We start from the raw sequence: 23,741 nt of genomic DNA, 5'->3' as shown, positions 1-23,741 counted from the left end.
TTAGAGATATCTGTCTTGTCTTTCAGATTTTGGAAGACAGTCTTACACGTTTTTCTCAAATGAATTTTTCAAAAACATGCATTTTGTCTGTTTCACGCAGAAGAAGCTATTGCTGCTCCTCTCATTTTAGGATTCTCTAGGGTCACCCAACAATTCAATGCCATAAAACTGGTATCTCCATCCCGCACAGTTAAGAAAACATTGAAGAATTATTTTTCTTGAAGGAAACATTGCTATAACTTTCCTGGGAGACTTCCACTGCATCATATTGAGGCATTAGATATAACCAGTTATAAAAGCTTCATCTGTACCTCAGAGAACTTCCTGAAGTTTGCGCAACATTGAGTTTCTGATACATTTTTTCATATGCACTGATATTGGAAGTAAAATCCCCTACCTTGAGGCAGAACCAGTCTCTAGATGAAGAAATTTTTTTTTTACCTTGGTTATATCCAAGGCACCTGTGGGGCAGTCAGCAGCTATCCATTACTAAATTATGCCCATTTTGTTCTTGCACTTTCTTTATTCAAATATTTTTATTTTCTCCCATGTTTTTAGAATAGTCCATTATCAAATAATCATATCAACAACAAAATGAGCAAAGATAAATTAAAATGTTAATTTCAGACTTCAGTCTCAACATTTCTTCCCCAAGCTTTTGACCTTTATAATAAATGAACAATAAGATTTCTGGATACAATCAGTTCTGCTTTCCCTTATCATTCCCTCTGGAGAAGTTCTAACATGCTCCAGAATGGCTAGAAGCAACATAGAAGAGAAAGGAGGAAAACCAAGATCACAAACCATAAAGCTGTAATAGTGTGAAATACAGAAAAGAAATCACATCCCCACACCGGAAGTCATCCTGCATCACAGCAGAGCTGAAACAGGAGGTCCTGCTCAAGATGTGCACAGCACTCACCAGTTTATGATGGCAATGTGAGAGTGCATCCAGGATTTCATCCACAATTCTATCAGACAGGAACGAGGCCACTGTCAATTTTACTTCACTGTGTGAAAATCAAAAGGACAGAGTACCATTTTAATTTGTGCAAGAGGGGAAAATGATCCACCCTTGCTGCTATAGTGATAAGGTCAACTGTGATTCCATTTCTGTCTTTGAAAGTGGAATATAAGAATGTGTGAACAGGACTAAGGATTTCCAAAAATAAACCTTAAACACTGCCATAAACACACAAGTAATAGACTTTCTTTACCAATTTCAACCTGCCTCTGCAATTTCAAAACTCAAGATTTAATGGTAGAAATGAAAAACGTCTGGATAAAGACAAAGTTAATGGGAACCATATGTACCATGTGGTGAGGAACAATTCATCCATTGACATAAAGGAAAACAAACCTGGGCTGGAGTAAATTAAGAAAGTCTAGCCTGGTTGTTAAGTCTTAGTTACTGCTTTAGTATGCGTATCACTCACCCTTTTAAAAAACTTTTCACCAATCAAATGATACCATAACTGCGTCTGCTTTGACTGACCATCTTACTTTGACTATTTACAAAATCACCTGCCCCTATCTTTTATGAAGAGAGGTTACTAAAATTTGCAGTTCTGGTGCCTGTTGCCTGACCTCAGAGAGTTGTCCACACAGCAAAAAGTGGCTTGTTGTTTTTACTAATAAACAGACCCAGCCACTAAGATTCTGTCAGATGGCTGGTATTTTTGTTTGCATTTTTGCAAATTTGGTATTCCCAAGAATTCCACTTTCATGTGTGTTCTCGGTCTGAATATCTTAATGGATATATGTACAAATGTACATTAAGCACAATACATTTAAAGGTAAATACGTGAGAGAAATACATACCTATATTCCAATATTGTCGCATAAGCTAACGTTGAAAATATATTCATGTAACATGGAAAAAATCTTGCTAACCTAAAGGCAATAATTTGCATGGAGATTTCTCTGCCTGGGGAGATTTCTGAATAGAAGTACTAGTTTTTTACTTAGAGTAAAAATTATCTTAAGCTAAAGATAAAAAAATACATTTAATTTCTGCCCATGAAACAAGGTATCACTATCTATTTGCTTTATCTGATACTTTACTATTCCCCAGAGGTGTCTACTGATAAGATTCACCCAGGTCTCATATTAAAAATACAGGTTATTGGGTCCCACCCCAAACTTTCAGAGGGACCTGAAAATCTAATTTTAAGTACTTCCTCTGATTCTTTTTAGGCATGTTTAGAAATTATACTTCCTCATAAAACTATAGGTTCAATAGTTTCTCTTTCTCTCCTTCTCTCTGAAAGTGGGGAGGAGTGGTTCATCTATTTCAAATTGTAGCACCAAAAAAAGATAGAGTCTTAAAAACGCAATTATTTTTTAATATCTCAGGATCATTCTATCATTTTGCTACCGGATACTATGCTTCCTTCCTGGTTAAGCTTCCAGTTTGCAAAGGTTTTAGAGGAAAACAGTCAACTTAACCTGCCCATGCAAATGTGCATATTATATGAATGTATACATACATGCATGTGTAGGTGTAAATATTTTCATTCTATCAATGTTCAGTATAATGCATTATAAAAAGCCAAGTATGGAGTTAATGGACATAAAATTGATTCATTGATGTGTATTCTATACTGCTGTTCAACTTTCAGAATTTGCCCATTTTCAAAGGAAATGATCATATTTGACAGAATTTGATACTCAAAGCTATCAAAATATGATCTATTTGTGGCTGAAACCACTATTATGAAAGAATAGTGGCCAATACATTATTTTCTCCTTAATGTTTAGGCATCTCCAACAAAAAAATTCTCAAACCACAGGTTATAAGAATAAGTAAGCACACCTAGTGAAGGGCTAGAGTTTATAAAGTCACTAATCTATGGGGTCCTATAAACCCTCTAGAAGTCTTCTCTAAAATTTCTCAAGTCCTTCCAATTGCCTTACAATTCAGCTGAGTAGGATTTAGGGGCTTCAGTAAAACAAAACAAACAAACAAACAAACAAAAAAGACCTGAGATTATTCAGTTACTGCAGAATTTCTAAATCCTCAAAGTTCTATAATCTGGATTTAGAGTCATCAGCCTTTGATATCTAGTTAACGATAATATAATTTGGGGCTCATTTTGTTTTTCGCTCGTTTTTCTCATGGATTGTCATTTAGCTGTATCATTGTGTGTTAGCACCGCCCCCAGCTCTATAGACAGGAGCTATTATTTCTGCTACATCTAAATATCTTTATCAATATTCAAAAATGGTTAAAATGGAAAATTAAAAAATGCTTCTGAACTTAGTTTTTAGTTATCTGATTCCCCAACTAAGAAACATTATGAGAATTAGCTGAGCTATAATGTAATACTGTTGATGGACCAAGAGTCTCTACATAAAAATTCAGAAAAGTTTGCCAGTAATCACGGCTTCTAAATATTTACATCTTGTCATATTTTTCAAACTTTTTCAAACAGAAATCTAGGTAAACACTGCAAAGACACCATTAATACACATATAGTATTACAGACCCACCAAAATAACCCAGAAGGAAAATATGGGAAGGTCAAAGTGGGCCTCTCCCTATTTAGAGGCTGTGCATTTGTTCACAGTGTATGACGGTAAAAAGCAAACTGATCTCAATCTTCAAGCTAGTGATCTGTAAAGGTGAAAGATAAACTTCAGAAACAGAAAACAGGGATTACAAACATGTACCCTCTCTTAAATATAAAACCTTTAAACAGAGCAGATAATTCTATGTCCTTAAGTAATGCAGGCATTTACGTGATCATCTCATTTTGGAAATGTATAAAACTTATGCATTTATGCACAGTTATATTTATATACAGTTTCTGCCTATTAAACATGCCTAAACACATTATATATGGATACAGCCAACAATAACCCTCTTTACAGCTGCCTCGACTGCATTTACAGAAACTGCAGCTCCTAGGTTTATTAACATTATAAACCTACCTAATTTTGTTAAGGATATCAATTCCAGACTGCTCCAACAGGACATTTTTAACAAAGGTACGTGGAATAGAAATCTTTTCGGTGCTGGCATGAATCAAGTCTTGTCGAATGTGGGCTTTTTTCATCACATTGGGACAAAGATTCTCAGCAGCATCAACCATGGACTCAAGCAACGCCTGCAATGCAGCACAAGTGAAGGGAAGAGATGATGACACTGCACCCGAGGTGCCCGCCATAAAACTGAAAGGTGGTTATATATGACACGGAGCCCTCAGAGAACAGGAGCACGACGGAGTCCCAGAGCGCAACCAAGAATTCTGAGCTGCCCCAGGGTGACTTGTGACTGTTGGATGATCATTGATCTCTGGTAATCACTTTAAATCAGACACTTGGCAGAACCAAGCAAGCTTCATGCTGGCATCTGAAGTGTTATGGCGTGTCAGCTGTACTTAACACAAAGCCATTAACGAGAAGATTAAAAAATGCAAACATCAAGCCTTTATACACCCCCTTACCACAAGAACTTGTTTTCCCTGGTACTAGAACACAAAGTCACAGGTAACCCTAGAAAATATATCATATTTGAATGCTTCTGAGATTCTGCAAATCACAGAAACTCCAAATTAGGGTGAACCATTCAATTGCTCTATCAAAACAGCAGTAGCAGAAAAATCACAGAAACTACTGCCAATTTTACTCTTTTAAAAGAAAAGCTTTAGGTAAGATATTAATTATTATGACAGCAATAAACTATAGGAAAATAACAGACAAAAACATTAATAGCACCTTATAGACAGCATTAATAGTAACACTCAAAAGACATTCATATAGCACTTTAGAGTTTGAAAAATGTTTCTGCACATTTTATCCTTCCAACATCTGTGAAGATGGGTAGGGCAGCTATTCATGTGATCACCATTTTACGGTTGAAGAATGTGAGCTAAGGGAAGTTAAATGATTTGTCTGAGATGGGTGATACGGTTGGAAAGTGTGGAAAGGGCATCAGCATCAGTGTCAGACCTAAATTTGAAATCTAGCTGAGTGACACTGGACAAAGTTACTGATCTCTCCATTTGACTTTCCTTGACCATAAAATGACAATAAAAACGTTCTCACCTCATAGGATTATTGAGAATAAATAATATTACATGTCTAATGTGTTCCACAGAGTGTCTAGCACACAGTAAGAGCTCAGTATATCACAGATATTAAAAGCTCAATACATCACAGACATTATTATTAATCTGATTTCGAAGACTGTTCTTAATGATAAGAAACGCAGTTTTTGAAAGCAAGGCTTGGATCCTATTACTGGTCCACTGTGAATTAGGACCAATGAAGCACTGTTATCAAAAGACTGGTACAGTGGTCTATCTGCTCACATATTAAAATGCAAAGCACAATCCACCAATAAAATTTCTCATTGCACTGCAGTGTGAGCAGCAGAGTAGCAGGCTGTTTACAAGGATAATGTGGAAAACCAGGGGAAGAGAGGAGGGAGGCAGCCGTTTGAGAAGTTTCCAAAAGCCTTTCCTATTTTGACAGTGCTCTGTCCCCATTATAACTCTGGTTGAATAATCACTGAATTAGTATATTTTTCAAGAAAGCTCCTATACCAATCATCTGCAAGAGATGCAAGTAAGTCAGTCTAAGGCAAATTAGTCTCCTCTTTGACACTGAGATAAACACATTTTGTTCTAGATGGAGTAATAGTCCGGCACTCCTGATACAAACAACCTCAGGAATCCAATACTCTGTTTTAATTCTGTCATGTTCTTCAACATATCAGTTACTTTCTGAAAGGTCTCCCTGCATGACAGTGCTAATTCAGTTTGAATGAACTTCACACCTAAAGGGAGGAAGCCTGGCTTCCAATGTAAACTCTGACATGAAATTTCTGTGGAATGTTAAGTGAGTAGTATTAAGTGAATAATCTTTGCGGATCTCTGCATTTTCATCTATAAAATTATATAAAGTCTCTTTCTGCTCCATGATCACATAACTTTGACCCTATAAAAACGAATTTTAGCCTGTCTTAGGCATTTAACTAATCCAGCAAATATTCTGCAGTTAGTTCCTTACCACCACCTCTATCCCAACAGTACAATACAGCACTTTAAAAGTAACTTCATCCAGGGTTTCCTTTCATCCACATGACAACTCTGTAGGTGAAGATAGACTTTAGATGAGGGAACTGGGGCTCACAGGACATAAGTGACTTGCTCAAGGTTGCTCAGCTGGTCACTGGAGTTGGTGAGATGGGCACTCAGGTCTTCTGTTTCCTACTCTTGTTTCCTATTATACCCATCCTCATTTAATGGCCCTGATCAGTATCCAAAAGAATGTGCCTTCCGTCTCTGCTTCATTACTTATAAGTTTGTTCCCTTGTTCTCTTAAATAAACAGTATCTAGGGCTGCCAGGGTAAACTTTGCAGTGGCAGGGCTGGGAGAAAGATAAGAGAGGACTGCAGCCTCTCCTTCATGCCCCCATGGACCTCTGCACACCAGAGCCTGTTCAACATCCATCCTTCCCGTGGCTTCAAACTGTTATTCCAGTGAGTCTCAACCAAATATTTATCTACAATCACCTATACAATACATATGATAAAACATATACACAATAAAGCCTAGGAAACTTTTCCGCCTGAATATATGCCATGGAAAGGTCAACTGCAAAGTATTGTCCTCCCCTCCCCACTCAAACAATAACAACTACAACAGCAAAATCAGCCTTTCTTGCTAAGTTCTTTACTGTGAAGAATGGTATTAAACTAGGTGAGAAATTTGCAAGTCTCACTAGACTCTACCTACCTCAACCCCTTCCACCACAACTATCTCCAAAACATGCTAAATTTATTCCTAGATATTTCCTCAAAAGTGGAAATATGTCAAAATTATTATTCTTTAGCACAGAATAAAAATCCCTGAAGTATCTGGTAGATGCTGAGCTTGCCAGCTTCATTTCTTGCCATATCTCTCTATTTCCTTTATAACTATTCATAATCCAATCATGGTTGCAGTTCCCCGTATGATCCAGGCTCTGTTTCCATGCTTTGCACACAATGTTTTCTTGGCCTAGATTCCTCCATTTTCCCCTCTGGGCCAGAATAAAACATCTGTACTCCTCTACACTCAGCTCAATATTTTTCTTTGAGAAGACTTTCTTTCTTCCCCTACTCTCTTCACACTCCAAGCTGTATTTGATGACATGCACTCTTTCCTGCTGCCATACAGTCGGAACCTCAGTGATAAAAAATAAAATAAAATGCTCAAGAAGTTAGTGACTTTTACCCATTTTTGGGCCAAGACACGCCTTTGAGAATCTGATGAACACTCATCCAGAAAAATTTATATGCAATTTTAATAGAATTCTGGAACTTCACAGAGAGCTAGAGCCATCAGACTCCAGATACAAAGTTATAACCTGGTGGCAATTGTGAAGTCCCATCTTACATCCCCAGGGCCTGGCACACTTCTGAAAACAATCACTAAGGAACATATTAAAAAGTATTACAGGCCCAAGGACTCACTAAGTACGGGTATAGTCCATTTTTTCTGTACTAAACTTCAGTGCTACTTCTGTCATTTCTAACATTTGAATATATGTATGGGTCTATTTATTGGATCTGTTTTTTTGGTTCATCTACCTCTGCATATTTTCCTAATTATCCTAAGTCTTAACATGCAGTAGAACAAGACTACCAACCTTCTTGTTCTTCTTTATATGTGTCTGGGCTATTTTTGAGCACTGCTTTTCCATATGTTTAGAATCAGCTTTGTCAAGTTCTATTAAAAACCTATTGGAATGTCTATTAGAATTATCAAATAACAGATAAATTTGAGGAAAAACTGACATCTGTAACAATAACTTTTCCTACCCACAAATATGACACATATTTTTATTTTAGAATTTCCTTAAAGTCTCTCAATAAACTTTCTCCATTGAGGTGTTAGAGATTTTTGTGTGATTTATTTCCTAGGTACTTTAGATTTTTCGGTTACTATTTTATTATTATTATTAATATTCTGAGATGGAGTCTCGCTCTGTTACCCAGGCTGGAGTGCAGTGGTGCCGTGATCTCGGCTCTCTGCAACTTCCATCTCCCGGGTTCAAGCTGTTCTTCTGCCTCAGCCTCCTGAGTAGCTGGGATTACAAGCACCTGCCACCACATCTGGCTACTTTTTTTGTATTTTTTTTAGTAGAGATGGGGTTTTGCCATGTTAGCCAGGCTGGTCTCGAACTCCTGACCTCAGGTGATCCACCTGCCTCAGCTTCCCAAAGTGCTGGGATTACAAACGTGAGCCACCATACCAGGCTCTCTGTTACTATTTTAAATGGTGAGTATTTTTAATGATATTTTCTAACTAGTTGTTGCTGACATATAGAAACACAATTTTTTTTTTTTTTTTTTTTTTGTTGTTGTTGTTGTTGAGACGGGATCTCATTCCGCCACCCAGGCTGGAGTGCAGTGGTGCAATCATAGCTCACTCCCACCTTGCTGGGACTACAGGTATGGGCCACCATGTCCAGCTAATTTTTAAAATTTTTGTAGAGATGAGGTCTCACTGTGTTGTCCAGGCTGGTCTCAAACTCCTTGGCTCAAAAGATCTTCCAGCCTCAGCCTCCCAAGGTGCTGGGATTACAGGTGTGAGCCACCGTGCCTGGCCTAACTTTTTACATATTGCTCTACCTCTAGAAACCTTATCACACAAATTCAATAACTTACCTGCAGATTCTTTTGGGTTTTCTAGGTAGGACATCATAAAATCTGCAAATTCTGATAATTTTTCTTCGTTTTTAATTCTTACATTTCTCATTTCTTTTGTTTATCGTATTGCACTGGCTAAGACCTTCAGTATAAAGCTGAATAGAAGTGATGATTATAAACATCTTTGCCTTATTCCTGACTTTAAAGGAAATATTTTCCCCTATTTAAAAAAAAAGTAGACCTACAAAAAATTGGAAAAAATAGGACAATAAGCATCTATAAACCTAACTCTTAAAATTCACCAGTTGCTAATAATTTGCAATATTTGTTTCACCCCTCTCTGAAACACCTGAAAGCATGTTGTTGGCATCATGACCCTTACTGCTAACTTAAGTTATCCATTAACAGCTCATTAGTTTTCAGGCTCTCCTCACTTCCAATATTGGTATTTAAAATCATGTATTTCACCCTAAGTACTGGTTTAGTTGTCTCCTACAGGTTCTTATGTTACTATTTACATTACTGTTTAATTCCTTATATCCTCTGATTTAAATTATGTCCTCCTCTTTGACCCATGAGTTAGAATTTTTAAATTTATAAACATGTGGGCTCTTTTTTAGTTATCTTTTGTTATTAATTTCTAACTTATTTGAATTGAGACCAGAAAATACGGTCTCTGAAATTGTGCAGATGACCTTTATGGCTTCATGGGCATTTTTCATAAATATTCCATGGACACCTGAAAAAAATTTCACATTCTCCTTTTGTTGTGCACTGATTGAATAGCTGCATTAGATTACAATTAAGATTTCTGTTGTTCAAATCTTCTTCATCATTGTTTTACTTGATCTATCAATTATGGACAGTTATTTTAAAAGATCTCTACCACAATGGCAAATTTGTCCATTTTTCTTTGTAATTTTGTCCACTTATTCATTCATTTATATATGAAGCCATATGATTAGATGCTCACACACTTCAAATTCTTACATATTTCTGGAAAACTGGACCATTTGTCATTATTCACGGACCTGTTTCTCTCTGGTGATACCTCTTCTATTGCCATTTGGGTGGGATTCAATTCTGGCTTGGAACTCAACCTTGTACGATATTTAGGATCACTGTTACCTGCCCATGTCAGTCACTATGACACCAAAAATAACCCAACATTTCCTAATGCTCTTCTAGAAATGCACTGTAACTTCTAGTTTAGTGCCTCTGTTTCAGTGATTATACTAGGAATTTTAACATGCATATTTTACTTCATGTGTAAAGCAACACAGTCCAATAGAACTTTGAGATGATAGGAATATCTGAGCTGTCCAATAAGGGAGGCATTAGCCACATGTGGCTACTGATCCCTTGAAATGTACATAATGCAAGGGAGAAACTGAATTTTGAATTTTGTTTAATTGTAATTTTAATGGCTACATGTGGTTAATGTGTAACACATTGGACAATACAGGTCTAATGCTGAATTCTTAACACTTCTCTAGAATAAAACTAGGACCTTGGATTGCTTTAACTAACTTTCTACTAACTTATACACTCACTTTCAGTACTTGCTTTTTAAAATTTTATAGCGTGTTAGACATTAATGTCATTGTTTCATGTAATGCTACTATTTACTCATATTTGGACCTTCCCAGCTCATTAGTCTTTCTTGTAGCTCAGACTACATTTTTTGGATAATTTTTCTTTGTCCTAAAGTATATCCTTTAGTGTTTGGGGTGTGTGTGTGTGTGTGTGTGTGTGTGTGTGTGTGTGTGTAGTCTAGTAACAGTAAATGATCTCAGTTTTTGCAGTGATGAAAATGCTTTCATCTTCATTTGTAAAAACTAGGTCCATTGGGTATATAATTCTAGATTGATATGTTATGTACTCTCTAAAGTTTAAAGTATTATTTCATTGTCTTTTGGATTCCATTAACTATTGAGAAGTGAGCTGTCAGTGTTAATATCGGTCTTTTTTTAAAAAAAGAGCCTCTCCCTGCCTGCCCCCAACCACCAACTCTGGCCTCCTTTCAAGATCTTTATCTTCAGCACTCTTCACTTTTTATTACAACGATTCTAGATGTAAATTTGCTTTTATCTATCCTGCTTTAGATTTCACTGGGCTTCCTGCATCAGAAGATTCTGGCCTTTAATTCATCTCTGAAATTCTCAGCTGTCATCTCTTCAAATGTTGCCTTCCCCTAGTCTCTGTTTTCTTTTTGGGGGAAAATCTAAATTAGGTTTATGCTAAATTTCTCATTCTATCCATATTTCCTAACTTTTCTTATATAGTCTTCATTTTGTTAGTCTCTGTTTTACTACCTTCAGACAACTTGCAATGAACAGGCCCTGTTTTTGAAATATGATAATCCGATTTTGTTTTGATGTATCTCTAATGACAGTTATGAGGGTCTATATTTCTTACCTGTAAAAATAACTAATGGTACTTAGGAAACCTGTTTAAAATCTGTAAAATAAATTGGATTCATATCCTTAACATGGCAGCTATGCTCTTACAATCTTGCAGTGAGCCAGTGACTTTTAATTCATTACAAGCAAATACAACTTCCACACTAAAATGCCCTGAAATCTTCCTTTCTTTTGCTTTGGAAAATATAAAGTCTAGAAAGAAGAAAACTCAGAAAACTCTTCTGGCCAAACTGAGTTAATAGTTGACAAAATGCCACCTAAACCCCTCAGGCCTCATATCATAAGTAAAGCTGAAATTTACCAGTCAAGTATTTTACCATTTAAGCCCTGAATGAAATTAAGAATTTCCTAGGCCAACACAAATACCCTAGACTTTAAGTCCAGAAGGGAGAAATGAATGTTTCCTTATGTTAAAACATTCAAATCCCCCTTGTTCATCTACTACTACTCCAGGAATGAATGTTAGGATCAAAAGAGGGAAAACAGGGGAGTGTTGTCATTCTGAAATATCTAAAACAGGCCAGTTTAGAGAAAACATCATCCCCTTCAAAGAAGGAATTTCTCCAGACTTACTGCTTTTCTCTCCTCCAGGAAGTATACTAAGAAGGCTGGCTTATCTGGCCATTTATTTTGCTTTCTGAAATAATACTTTGGAAAGATGGCTTAAAGAGCTATTTGAACTTATTCAATGTTCAAAATGTCTATGACTGGCCATGGTACAGTATGATCAAATATTAGAGCTGGAATAAATCCCCCTGATTATCATGAGGCCAAGATAATCTTGCAGAAGGAAATGTGGTCCAAAAAAGTTAAGCAACTTGCTTAGCAGGAAGCCCAGGACACAAATCTAGGCCTGCTAGGTTCCTTTTCTTATTCTACCACTCACTATAATAAAAACTATTTTTACAAAATAACATTTAAACAAGATAATCCATCGACTTTAGCTCTTGCAAGTTTAACATGTTAATTTTAGAGAATGTGGGAAACAGAAAAAGGAAAATTTTTAACTAGGAAAATTTGATAGTAGTAGTGAATTCAGTAACAGCCACAATAGTTTAATTTAAAACTGAACACTGGTTATATTAAAAATACATTTTCCCTACATAATTTTAAGAAAATCAATGCATTGGAAATTTATATAGACAAATGGTATTTTTTTTAATAGTAAAAGGTTGTCCACTTGTCATGTAAACTGGAAGGAAATATAAGGAAGTCCATTATAAGTATCAAAAATGAAATGTGCACCCAGTTAAAAGAACATTTTAAAATACATTTAATTAAGACGTTTTAGTTGAGGATTTTCTCTGATTCATTCCAGACATCCCCAAAGGAAAAGAAACTTGAAACTCAGAAGGATTGAGAATAATAAAAACAAGTGAGTAGGGAACAGGAAAAGGTGGGGAAAAGGCCATTTGGAGGCCTGGGACCTTAGAAATAGTGAGAATGAGAGAAAAGCATGCTATGATATTTGCAAATAAGGAGGCGATGATGAATGGAGAACACTGGTGATGTTTAAAGAGGGGTCAGAGAAATCAAGGTCAAAAGAATGTAGGAAATGCCTATTTACAGAAAATATTTTGAATCCTAAATATATTTATATTATTTTAGGCTTTAAAAAATTCAAATTGTTATACTTCGGATATTTTCCTTCTGCCCTTTCCTAAGAAAGAGACTGGCAAGAATCCATTTCAACAATTCCATGCAATGAGAAGGAAACGAACACCAAAGGTATAAGTGGTGGTTTGTCGTTTAGACCAGCTGAAATGACAATTAACAGTTTGAAGCTGTTTGATAGGAAAGGTCCTATTACAAATGTTTCATGCCCATTTAAATTCTAGCCAATTTTCAGTATGGAATAAGTTCTTACAAATACTTTAATGAAACAAATTAGGCAACGGATATGAATACACAATTTACAGAAGAAGAAATACAAAGGGGGAATGAAATTATTTGATGCATCACTGAGTTATTGAAGAAATCCAAAAGACACAATGAGGCCGGGAGCAGTGGCTCATGCCTGTAATCCCAGCACTTTGGGAGGCAAAGGCAAGCAAATCACTTGAGCTGACGTCAGGAGTTTGAGACCAGCCTGGCCAATATGGTGAAACCCCATCTCGATTAAAAATACAAAAATTAGCCGGGTGTGGTGGCCGGCACCTGTAGTCCCAGCTACTTGGGAGGCTGACACAGGAGAATAGCTTGAACCCAGGAGGCAGAGGTTACAGTGAGCTGAGATCACGCCACTGCACTCCAGCCTGGGTGACAGAGCTACACACCATCTCAAAAAACAAACAAAAAGACACAATGAAAATTTTTTTCCCATTACATTGAAAAATATTAAAAGGTTGAACAACTTAGCATTGTTGAAGATGTGGCAAAATCAGCAATTGCTCGCACTAGTGAATAGCAGTGTGTGAATCCATATGAAAGTATAATACTATTTGACTAATACTATTTGACATAACAATGTCAAATTATAGACATTTACCCTAACTAATCAGAAATTATAAAATAAATTATGCTGGTACATCTATGCAATGGAATACCACATAGCCATTAAAAATGATTATTCATCAACCTATAATTGTATTCATGACATTGTACCAAATAGAACAAGGTTACCAATCAGTATGTATAGTATTATCACTTATATAAAAAACTGTGTATATAGGCACAGAATGTCTAGAAATTCACTAAGATATTAACAGAGACACTACCTCTGGGATCTCACGGGATTTTCACTTTCTTTTTTTCCCTATATGTTAGTATTGTTTAAACATTTCACAAAGAGTAAGTCATTTTCTACAGTTAAAAATAAATAACAAAGCCAATTTTGTTTTAAATATGTTATCCTTCATGCAGGATAAAACAAGTGCTATTAGGTAACAAATGGTCTAGCAGAACTCTACCATCCACAGTCCTTTTTCTGCCCATTTGTCTCTGCTCAGGATGGATTCAAAACAACCGTGATTAAATAAAATAAAAATGATACACAGAGTCCCTCTGTATTATATGCACAGGAAGACAGGGGATTAAACTCCTTAAAAAGAAAACCCCACATTTTCTCCTTCATTAACTTAAATTTTCAAAGAGAGTAATTAACATGCTGCAAAGTTATTAATGAGTTGCATTTCAAATCCCTACATGCTGTAGTAATTGTGTTCTCAGAAGAAAACAGGCCAAATAATTATAGAAATTCAGACACAGTTTTTAAAGGCTACCTTGATAGGCAGATTGGAAGTGATGAAAACTTTCTGAATGTGAAATTTATCTAGTGTAGCTGTTTCTTGAAGTTACTTTAAGCAAAAGTTGGTCTTAGATTACTCTATTCCCCAAAAGTTTCAATAACTTTTTGTTTCTTTTCTTACCTTTTTTTCAGTGAATCTATAGGCAGGTCTCTGCAACCTTGGGTGCCTTGTAATTACATTTAAATACCTTTCCTAGTCTTTCAACCAGCCCCTTTGAAGATTATCTATTTACCTAGTGGCAGACTCCCCACATAAGCACCATCTAGGTACTGTAAATGTAGTTACTATCATTTTCCCCATTCTCTAAATCAGATGTTAATAACAGAAGGTATTTTTTCCAGAAGCACACTTCTCTTTCTACCCCCTAAATAGAAATCAATCATTCCTTTATCAGTGGCAACCCATAATTTATTAGGTACATTTAGAGGTTTACCCAAAAATGATTATGTAAGAAGTCTTTCCAAAACTTATAATGAAGCTGGAAAAGACACAGTATTCAATTTTTACTACATCTTTGCAGCATGCACACATACAAGTCTATAAAACATAGATAGCTATGGAATGAAATGCTATCATGCGTAGTTAAATATTAACAATTTCATTTCCCAAATAACAAACCCCACAAACCTTTAGTTGTTCATCTACTACTCTTGTAACTTCTCCAGCCATTGATTCCAGGGTCTCCTGAATTGGACTGGATAGTAAGCCACTGGCTCCCGCCCAAGATGCACCACCAACATGGTATAAATTTGGTAACAACTGTAAGAGAAATAAAAAATAACCTCTTTAGAATTGGGTAAATATTTCAATCAAAGTCATTGCAGAGTGAATGAGAAGGGTGAAGGAATACTGTTAGGGATAATCTCTTCTCAGTCAAAGGCTCTTTGCACAGATTAATAAACTGAGGTCCAGACTATGGGCATTCCTTTTTATTCAATGAGTCACAGCAACCCTAAGAAACACTAGACTGGGTATTAGGAGACTTTCACATTGACCACTTCTGTCATTAAGCAGCTTTGAAACCACAGGAATAATACATTACCTCCTCATGTCTTTTTTTTTTTTTTTTTTTTTTTTTTTGAGATGGAGTTTCGCTCTTGTTGCCCAGGCTGGAGTGCAATGGCGCGATCTCAGCTCACTGCAACCTCCGCCTCCCGGGTTCAAGCGATTCTCCTGTCTCAGTCTCCCGAGAAGCTGGGATTACAGGCACATACCACCATGCCCAGCTCCCCTTCATGTCTTAATGTCTTCATCTGGGGTATGAAAGTTGAGCTGCTTTTACTCACAACACTTCTGTCACCAAAAGTGTAGGTGTTTGCCACACCAGGCAAGTCTCCAGTTCTCTGCATACACTAAATGGGTGTCCTACAAATCTATTCAATTCAATTCTGACACTGTCTACCCAGAGTTTGCCTGAGATCCCAAAAGTGAAGGACTCAGTCCCACCAGACTATCCCCAGTTCAGATGGCACTCACAGGTCCCAGGTTGTTACTGGTACTTCTAACCAATAAGCCTTAAATTCAAGGGGTTCCCATAAATCCTTTTTCAGGTTCCATAATTTGCTAAAATGACTTACAGAACTCAGCCAAGCATTTTACTTATGATTACTGGTTTATTATAAAAGATACAGCTCAGGAGGAGCCAAACAGAAGATGTATAGGGTGAAGTAAGGGGTCAGGGGAGCTTCGGGGGAGTTCTGCAGGTATACAGCCCTCCCAGCACGTTGATGAGTTCATCAACCCAAAAGTTCTCTGAAGCCTACTGTTTAGAGATTTTATGGAGGACCCATTACATAGACACGACTGATTAAATCAGTGGCCACTGGTGTCCATTCAATCTCCAGCCCCTCTCCATTTCCATGGCGTCCAGGGGGTGGGCTGACAGATTCAGTTCACTAATAACGTGGCTGGTTCCTCTGGCAACCTCCCCTATCCTGCAACTTTCTAGGGGCACAGGAAGAGTCACCTCATTAGGATAAACTCTGGTGTGATGAGAGGGGCTTTTTATTAATAACAAAAGATGCTATTATCATCTCTGTCACTCAGGAAATTACAGGGGTTTTAGAAGCTCTGGTTCAGGAACCAGGGACAAAGACCAAATACTATAACAAAAGATGCTTCTATCATCCCTATCACTCAGGAAATTACAAGGTTTTAGAAGCTCCATATCAGGAACTGGGAACAAAGACCAAATATACATCTCTTATTGTATCACAAGAGTATCTGATTGATCTACAGATTCCTCATACTAATGACATTCAGTGATTGTGTGATTCTAGCAGCAGAACCAAAACCAGATCCCAGTTTTTCTGACTCACAGTTAAGTCCTTACTCTACTAAGTCACACATTGGGAACCAAAGTCTAACGTGAGAGAAGCTTCCTTTTAGGGGTAACAGAGGGGAGTTTCATGTTATCAGCTTAGAAGCAGAATCATTTTAAATGAGCTGTTACTCATTTAAACGACAGCTCCCTCTCAGTTGTTGAGGGCCCAATCACACCCTCTGTGAATCACACTGGCCCTCTGCTTTTTATTCTATATCTTGATTATTGGTAATCAGCACAGGTACAGAAAGGAGGTCAAGGCTAATTCAGTTCACTTTGCCACTTGTTAGTAAACTTGGAATTGGGTAGAGAGAGAAAGTTGAAACTGGTTTCTAAAACTAAATTTTATGAAACGTTTTTATTATACCAGACTCTCACACAGCCTGAAGTGAAACTCACCGTTTTAGAGTTCTTAGCATCACGCATGAGCCGCTCTGCTGATTTTAAATCTTCCTGGATAGCGTCTCCCCCACAATTTCGTAAGGAGTTGAGATGATCTTGTACTTTCACACATATTCTGTCAATCATCTGCTCCAAACCAGAAAAAGGCAAGCATCCAAGTCAGCCCAGCCGATATTCAGATAGAAGGAAACACAGAACGAAGGAGTATGAAAAAAACTTCAGCAAACCACAGAATGCACAAGGATGAAAACCTCAAACCCTTCTAACTGGAGTCACTGAGAATGCTGCTTGTAAGCAATTATTAATTTACTTTATTCATGCAAGTAACCTTTGGCAACTTTAATGCCAGAAAAAAATTGAAGGCATTTCAGTTCCCTTTCCTGCCTTAGGAAATGCAGCACGTAGAACAAAAGTGAACACTTCTTGATGATTCAGAACCTCACTCAGTGACATTTTGCTAGATACTAACTCCTTCATTAACTTTTAGTGAGCACCCTCTATGTGTTAGACATAGAGTTAGGTACTGAGGAAACAGAGAAATAAAATGTGCAACACTGAGACTGTTGTAATGACTACAAAATGATGCCCAACAGCCAGTTGGTCTCAATACTATAGAAACCAGAACATCTCTTAAAAATTGGTATTTTAAAAATCGATTCAATTACATCAAGTATTTTTCTTTGTAAATTAAGAGCCACCAAAAAACAAAAACAAATTGAGGTTTTATTATATTAACATAGGTAGTAATGAAGTCAATATCATCTAGTTTCTATTACAATAAGATGCCTCCCCTACCAGTTTAATTGCACCTAAATCATTCTCAATTGTTTTACGGATATAAACACAAAACCCAATGGGAGATGGTGGATCTCTATGGTAGACAAAAAATATTTCAGAAAGGTTAAGATTATGCTCTTCTATATTTGTACTTATACAAAAAAGCATGAAGGAAGCCAAGAAGTCTGAAGAAAAAGATAACCACAGTGTGGTTTTAAAAGTGTCTCCAATATTTTCGTTAGAGCTGCCGGTTGTCTATTTATTTCATGTTCTTAAAAAAAGTATTCATTCTTCAAAGGCCTTACATGTCAAGAGTCCTCTTCCATCTGATAATTCATTTGGCAGAGGAGACAAACAATATTCTTTTTTAGTTAAATTCACACTTCTCTATTTTGAATTATTTGATATCATAACGATAGGAAGCTAAAGTCTGCCCTTCTTCCCCCATAAATTTCAAAATGATAGAGACTTTACACACTATTCCGAAGACTTCAGGTCTGATTACAGAGCCCATGTCTACTTGCTGTAGCACTGCCATCTCTCTTGCCTTTTTCTTTGTAAAGTCAGGTTCATAATATCTACCGCACATTCTTTATTAGTGTGTTATGAAGACAATTCAATAAAATAACAGCACTCAAGCACCTATTGTTGAAAAAGGGCCAGTAATGCCAAAGTTTATGTATAATAAAAACAGCTCCTATTGCTGTAAAATATATTGAGGTTACATACGTTATTATCTTGAGATCCCCCTAGGAAAAAGAAGTTGTATGAATATTGCTTCTCACATCAAATTCTCTGCCTAAAATCCCTAAAAATCTAAGACAAGAAAGTTATGATTCCTGCCTCTGATTGTAGGCAGGAATCATATCTTTCTGCATTTACACAATGCCCTGCATAGAGCTAACTATAAGTTTTTTAAAATCTTAATTGATAGAAATCATAACTCTTCTAACTATTGTATTGATCTGTGCCTCCTGAAGCAAAAAGGGTCATTAATAATTCATATCTTACCAAGAATGAATGCCTAATTTCAAGAGACAAACCACACACTAAGAAAGAAACTGATATACATTTGGGGCTGCAAAAGGCTAATTTGAGAGGCATGTGGATGAGGCACTATAAAGTTGGTATCTTTAATCACCACGAGAGAACAAAGAGACACTTGAAATGTATGCCCTTAAGCATTCACCAAGGGGAGAGGATTTACATGAACTCAACAAAAATGGTCTTTAAGTAGAACATTTAAAATGTCATGCAAAAGAACAATCAAAATTAAGTTCTTCAATTCAAAGAAGACATAAAATCTCATGTCTCCAAGATTCCTCTGAGCATAGCTCAGCAGACCACATTTAGATCCTTTACCATGAAAGAGCTCAAAGCTCAGAAAAGGTAAACTATTTAAGATGACATGCAATGATTACACAGAGTACAGATTGAAAATTTTGAAAAAAGTAAATCAAGGGGTTTATCAGTTCATAATTCGTCTCTCAAGTACATAAATACGAAAAATAAAGGAGATGCAATCTGAAAGGCTATAATCTCTTGGGTTACCCCGTTAGAAGACCTCATAGAAGATGGTTGTGTTAGGGCTGTTTAGTTTAACCTCTCTACTTCACCCTAACCCTATAGTGTTCAGTTTCTCTAAAGCAATACAGAAAAGTTGTTGACGGCCATAGTTTATGAAGCTCAATTCCTTCCAAGAAAATGTACCCTGTCATTCCTAGATAAGGTTTTGAGTCTTAATCTGTCTTCTTACACCCTTCCTGCAGGTCCCATATCTTCCCCTTGAGAACACTCTGCACAATCATATGCTCTCTTCTAGTGACAGTCCTGCACATATTTAAATACACTTATTTTTCTTCCTTAGCCTTCTTTTCTTCAGGTTTAACATTCCCAGCTCCTTTTCCCATGCCTACGCTGACACAGTTCTCCAGTCCTTGACCTCCTTTCCTGTAGGTCACTTCTGCATTCTGTCTTCCACCTAGAACCTCATGAAGTCTCCTTAGTGAAATGGATTGTAACTAAGAGTGGACTGGAAAGCACAGAGCTGAGATGAACAGAGCTATCGTCTTCCTTACTGTAGAAAGTATACCTTCATTAATACGGTACAAGTCAAATTGACTTCTTTGGCAACTACATCACACCACTAACTCATATCACACTTGCTGGTGACTACCTAGGCTTTTTCAGATATACTGGGCTATTGAACCCACGGGTAAGAATTACAACTATTAGCAATAAATGCCATCTGTGGTTGCTCACAAGTTGATACAACTGTTCTTATTTCCAGCAAACAGCTTATTCATAGAAAATTTTATCATTTTCCACATTGGTTTCTTTATTCCATTCAAGAGAAATAAACTGGACACCTGGCATAGAGGAGCTACAGTCTTGAAAAAGGTTACCCCTTGCCACCAGCAACTTAAAAACCTGGAAGTGGGAAGAAATATTCACAATTAGCAGTAACACAGGACATAAAGTGCTACATAATGTAATATCCACAAGGACATGAACATTTTATTTTCTTCACTGCTGAATCCCTGTTTCTTACGATAGTGCCTGCCATATCATAGACTTCTACAACTGTTTATTCAATGATAAATGAATGATATAAGCTTTTAAAAAAATTTTATCCAAAGGAGGAATCACACCTAGCTGAGGTTAAAAATAACTTTTATTTTTTTTTTTAGCTGAGTCCTGAAAGATTTGTACGGATTGAGAAAAACAGAAGGGATCGTTAAACAAAAGAACAAACCCAAGCAGTGGTACATCCAGACACTATGACTCCTATCTCCTGGTTAGGAACAGAGGCACCTTACAGTGGGAGATCAGATTGGAATGATGGGTTAAGGCAGGACAGTATAGCACTCCAGTGCAGGCTAAGAGGTTGAACATGGTGTCCAAGGCACAGAGCGTCATTTCCCCAGCTCCTCCCCACAATTGTGAGCTCTAGAAATCCCTTACCCCATAAACATTCACGGTGGCTCAGCTTCCCTGATACAAAGAACATGGGCTGTGGAAAGCAGGAGGAGACACATAAAATGAAAAAACTAGTTCTTGTAGTTCTTGTTAAAAAAAAAAAAAGACGTAGAAGGTAGTTAGTAAAAAGACCTTAGCAAGAGAGCTCGTAGTATAAATAAAAACAAAAGAAGTATCTTTTGCAGCCACTGGACAGGGTTTAGTGGGTAATGGATGGGGAAAGCAAATGAAGAGTTCAAGATGACTCCAAAGGTTCAACCCTCAGTGAATGATGATGTCCCTGAGTGAAATGGCAAAATCAAGAGTTCAAAAGGATGAGTTTGGTCTTAATGACTGATATCTCAGAAGGCCAAAGTGGTGGAGATGCTGAAAAAAATAATTGGGAAGATAGGACTCTCTGGAAAGAAACAGGGACTGAATGGTTAGATCCAGGAGTCATCTACAAATGAGAGAGTTAAAATAGAAGCAAATAGCCAAAGGAAAAGAACACTAAATACAAAGCTTTGAAAAAAAATCCTGCATTGGGGATATGAAAAGAGAAAGAGTTGTGTAGAAAGCAGAAGGTAAGACACAAGAGTGGCAGAAGGACATTCAGAATGGTGCATTGTCCAGTGAACTAAGAACTGAGTTTTAAGAAAGATGAGATGGTCCATAATAATGATGGTAATTGTGATAATAAAAATAACAGCCAAAAAAAACCCATTAATGTTTACTGGTAAGAAGCCAAATACTTTTCAAGCATTATCTCAGTTACTCTTTACATCACCTTCATAGATGGGTACTATCATCATCCCCAATAAACAGATGAAAAAACTGAGGCTTAAAGAGGTGAGTAAGTGACTAACATAAGTTCACACAGGGAATAGTAGAGCCTGGATTTACATCTGGGGTCATCTGACTTGAGAGCCCAAGTTCTTAACCATAATATTCTGCCTCCTTTTATCAAGAGATGAAGAAGGAGAAAAGGCCCCTGCACATTGTGACAAAGAAACCAATGAAAGAGCCATTTCAGTAGATAAAGAGGGACAGAGGCCATGTTTCAAAAGGTTGCAAAGTGAGTGTTTAACAAAGAAGTTAGGACTGCAAATGTAAAATGTGCACATGAAAGAGGAAAGAGAATATAACGAGCAAATAGCTCTAAGAAGTAAAGCCCCCTCCTCACCCTTTCTTTCTCTCTCTCTTTCCCTCCTTCTCTCTTTTTCTTTCTTTCTTGGTGAGAAGGCTAAAGAGAAGAGCTTGGCGAGTGGCAGGCAATTCTGGGCCTGTTTTTATAACTACAGTTTTATTGTAATAACACTCATTCATTTACATGTTGTCTATGGTGGCTTTCACTCTATCGCAGCAGAGTTGAGTAGCTGCAACAGAGATCCTATGGGCTCCAAAGCCTAAAGTATTTACTATACGGCTTTTTACAGAAAAGGTTTGCTGAGTCCTAATTAAGAGGCTTTATCATCTGGAAAAGAAGGCATCAAAAACGAAAATAGAATGTTGAGTCTTATAAAAATATTTCCTAATCAAAGTCACCAGACAAAAACAAATACAACCAGTTACAAGACTTCAATATTTCATTAAAACATTCTTTAATGCCTTTGGTGTCACCTGAGAATGATGACTGAGAATGATGGCTATCAAGTTGGCAAGGGCATTAGTCACAGAGGGTCTATCCTTTCTATATTCAGGTTTCTGCAATCTTCAAGGTAAATCTCTCCTGAAGTGACTAAAATGATTAAAGTCTAAAAACTGCTAATTATAATGTCCTAAGAAATTCCCAAAGTGAAAACGTGGCAATATACCTACTACATAACTCAGATAATTCAGAATAATGCCATCTATGCAGAATTAAACATCCACATACTGCTCTTGTGTGCAATTTTCTCTCAATAGATGAAACGTACTTTTAAGAATAAGCATTAAAGGTTGCTGCTGTAATTTTTTTTTTGGATGGGCAAAATCCACTCTGAATTAGGGGGAAAAAGTTGGAAAGATGTTGTATTAAGTAAAGACAGGCTGAGGCAGGAGAATCGCTTGAACCCGGAGGCAGAGGTTGCAGTGAGCCAGGGTTGCGCCATTGCACTCCAGCCTGGGCAACAAGAGTGAAACTCTGTCTCAAAAAAAAGGAAAAGAAAAAAAAAAAAGAAAAGAAAAGAAGTCTTGGGCCAGGCATGGTAGCTCACACCTATAATCCCAGCACTTTGGAAGGCCAAGGTGGGTGGATCACTTGAGGTGAGGAGTTTGAGACCAGCCTGGGCAACATGGTAAAACCCTGTCTCTACTAAAGATACAAAAATTAGCTGGGTGTGGTGATGGGCAACTATAATTCCAGCTACTCGGGAAGCTGAAGCAGAAGAATTGCTTGAACCAGGGAGGCGGAGGTTGCAGTAAGCCGAGATTGCGCCACTGCACTCCAGCCTGGGCGACAGAGTGAGAAGTCTTTATTATTGTAGCTCATAAAGGAACACAAGACAAAGTTTCAGTGTAACTTTCATTGCATTTCATGTTAAACACTAAAACCTGTTAATAATAGTAAACCATAAAATACTAGGCTAGTAGTATTAGTTCCTTGCAGGAAAAGAAATTAGATTTTTAAGGGACTGGTAAGGTCAAAATAATGGCTTTCTTTCTCAAAAGTCCTGCTACTTCACTAGTATAACTTTTCTTCTCAACACATATTGGTTTACTTTTTCTTGCTTAAATAATGCATATTTACTGTAAAACATTCAAACCATACTGAGAAGAGAATAAAATACACCTTTCATACCACCTAAAATAACCATCATTAATATTGTGATGAACACCCTTTTACATGTCTCTATGCCTATCTATACAGTCACCCATAGTTTACCTAATTGGAATATTATGCATGACATTTTTATTATGGACATCTTTCTTTCAAAGAAGAAGCAACAAAAAATTAAATAACATTTGTAACAAGGTAAGAAAATAATGC

At 36.9% G+C, this 23,741-nt stretch overlaps 1 protein-coding gene across 20 annotated transcripts in view, besides 1 other annotated feature; it reads right to left on the bottom strand.

The window, feature by feature from the left end:
- Window positions 1–23,741, bottom strand: part of CARMIL1 (capping protein regulator and myosin 1 linker 1) — a 341,157-nt gene that overhangs the window by 65,512 nt on the left and 251,904 nt on the right. For all 20 annotated transcript variants that reach the window (XM_017011008.2, XM_017011009.2, XM_017011015.2 and 17 more), the window contains 4 exons: window positions 17,036–17,164; window positions 14,941–15,072; window positions 3,934–4,109; window positions 923–1,010 (listed from right to left, as the gene is read on the bottom strand). In XM_017011008.2, coding sequence (XP_016866497.1) covers window positions 923–1,010; window positions 3,934–4,109; window positions 14,941–15,072; window positions 17,036–17,164 — 525 coding nt within the window. The remainder of the gene's footprint in view (window positions 1–922; window positions 1,011–3,933; window positions 4,110–14,940; window positions 15,073–17,035; window positions 17,165–23,741) is intronic.
- Window positions 21,592–21,792: a silencer, noted in NCBI's record as "peak5739 fragment used in MPRA reporter construct". NCBI's record gives its function as "represses an SCP1 promoter by STARR-seq MPRAs in K562 erythroleukemia cells {active_cell/tissue: K562}" and the evidence as "EXISTENCE:reporter gene assay evidence [ECO:0000049][PMID:32103011]".

This window comes from Homo sapiens, chromosome 6 (assembly GCF_000001405.40).
Source record: "Homo sapiens chromosome 6, GRCh38.p14 Primary Assembly".
NCBI classification, from domain to species: domain Eukaryota; kingdom Metazoa; phylum Chordata; class Mammalia; order Primates; family Hominidae; genus Homo; species Homo sapiens.
This window is presented reverse-complemented; position numbering and strand designations above follow the sequence as displayed.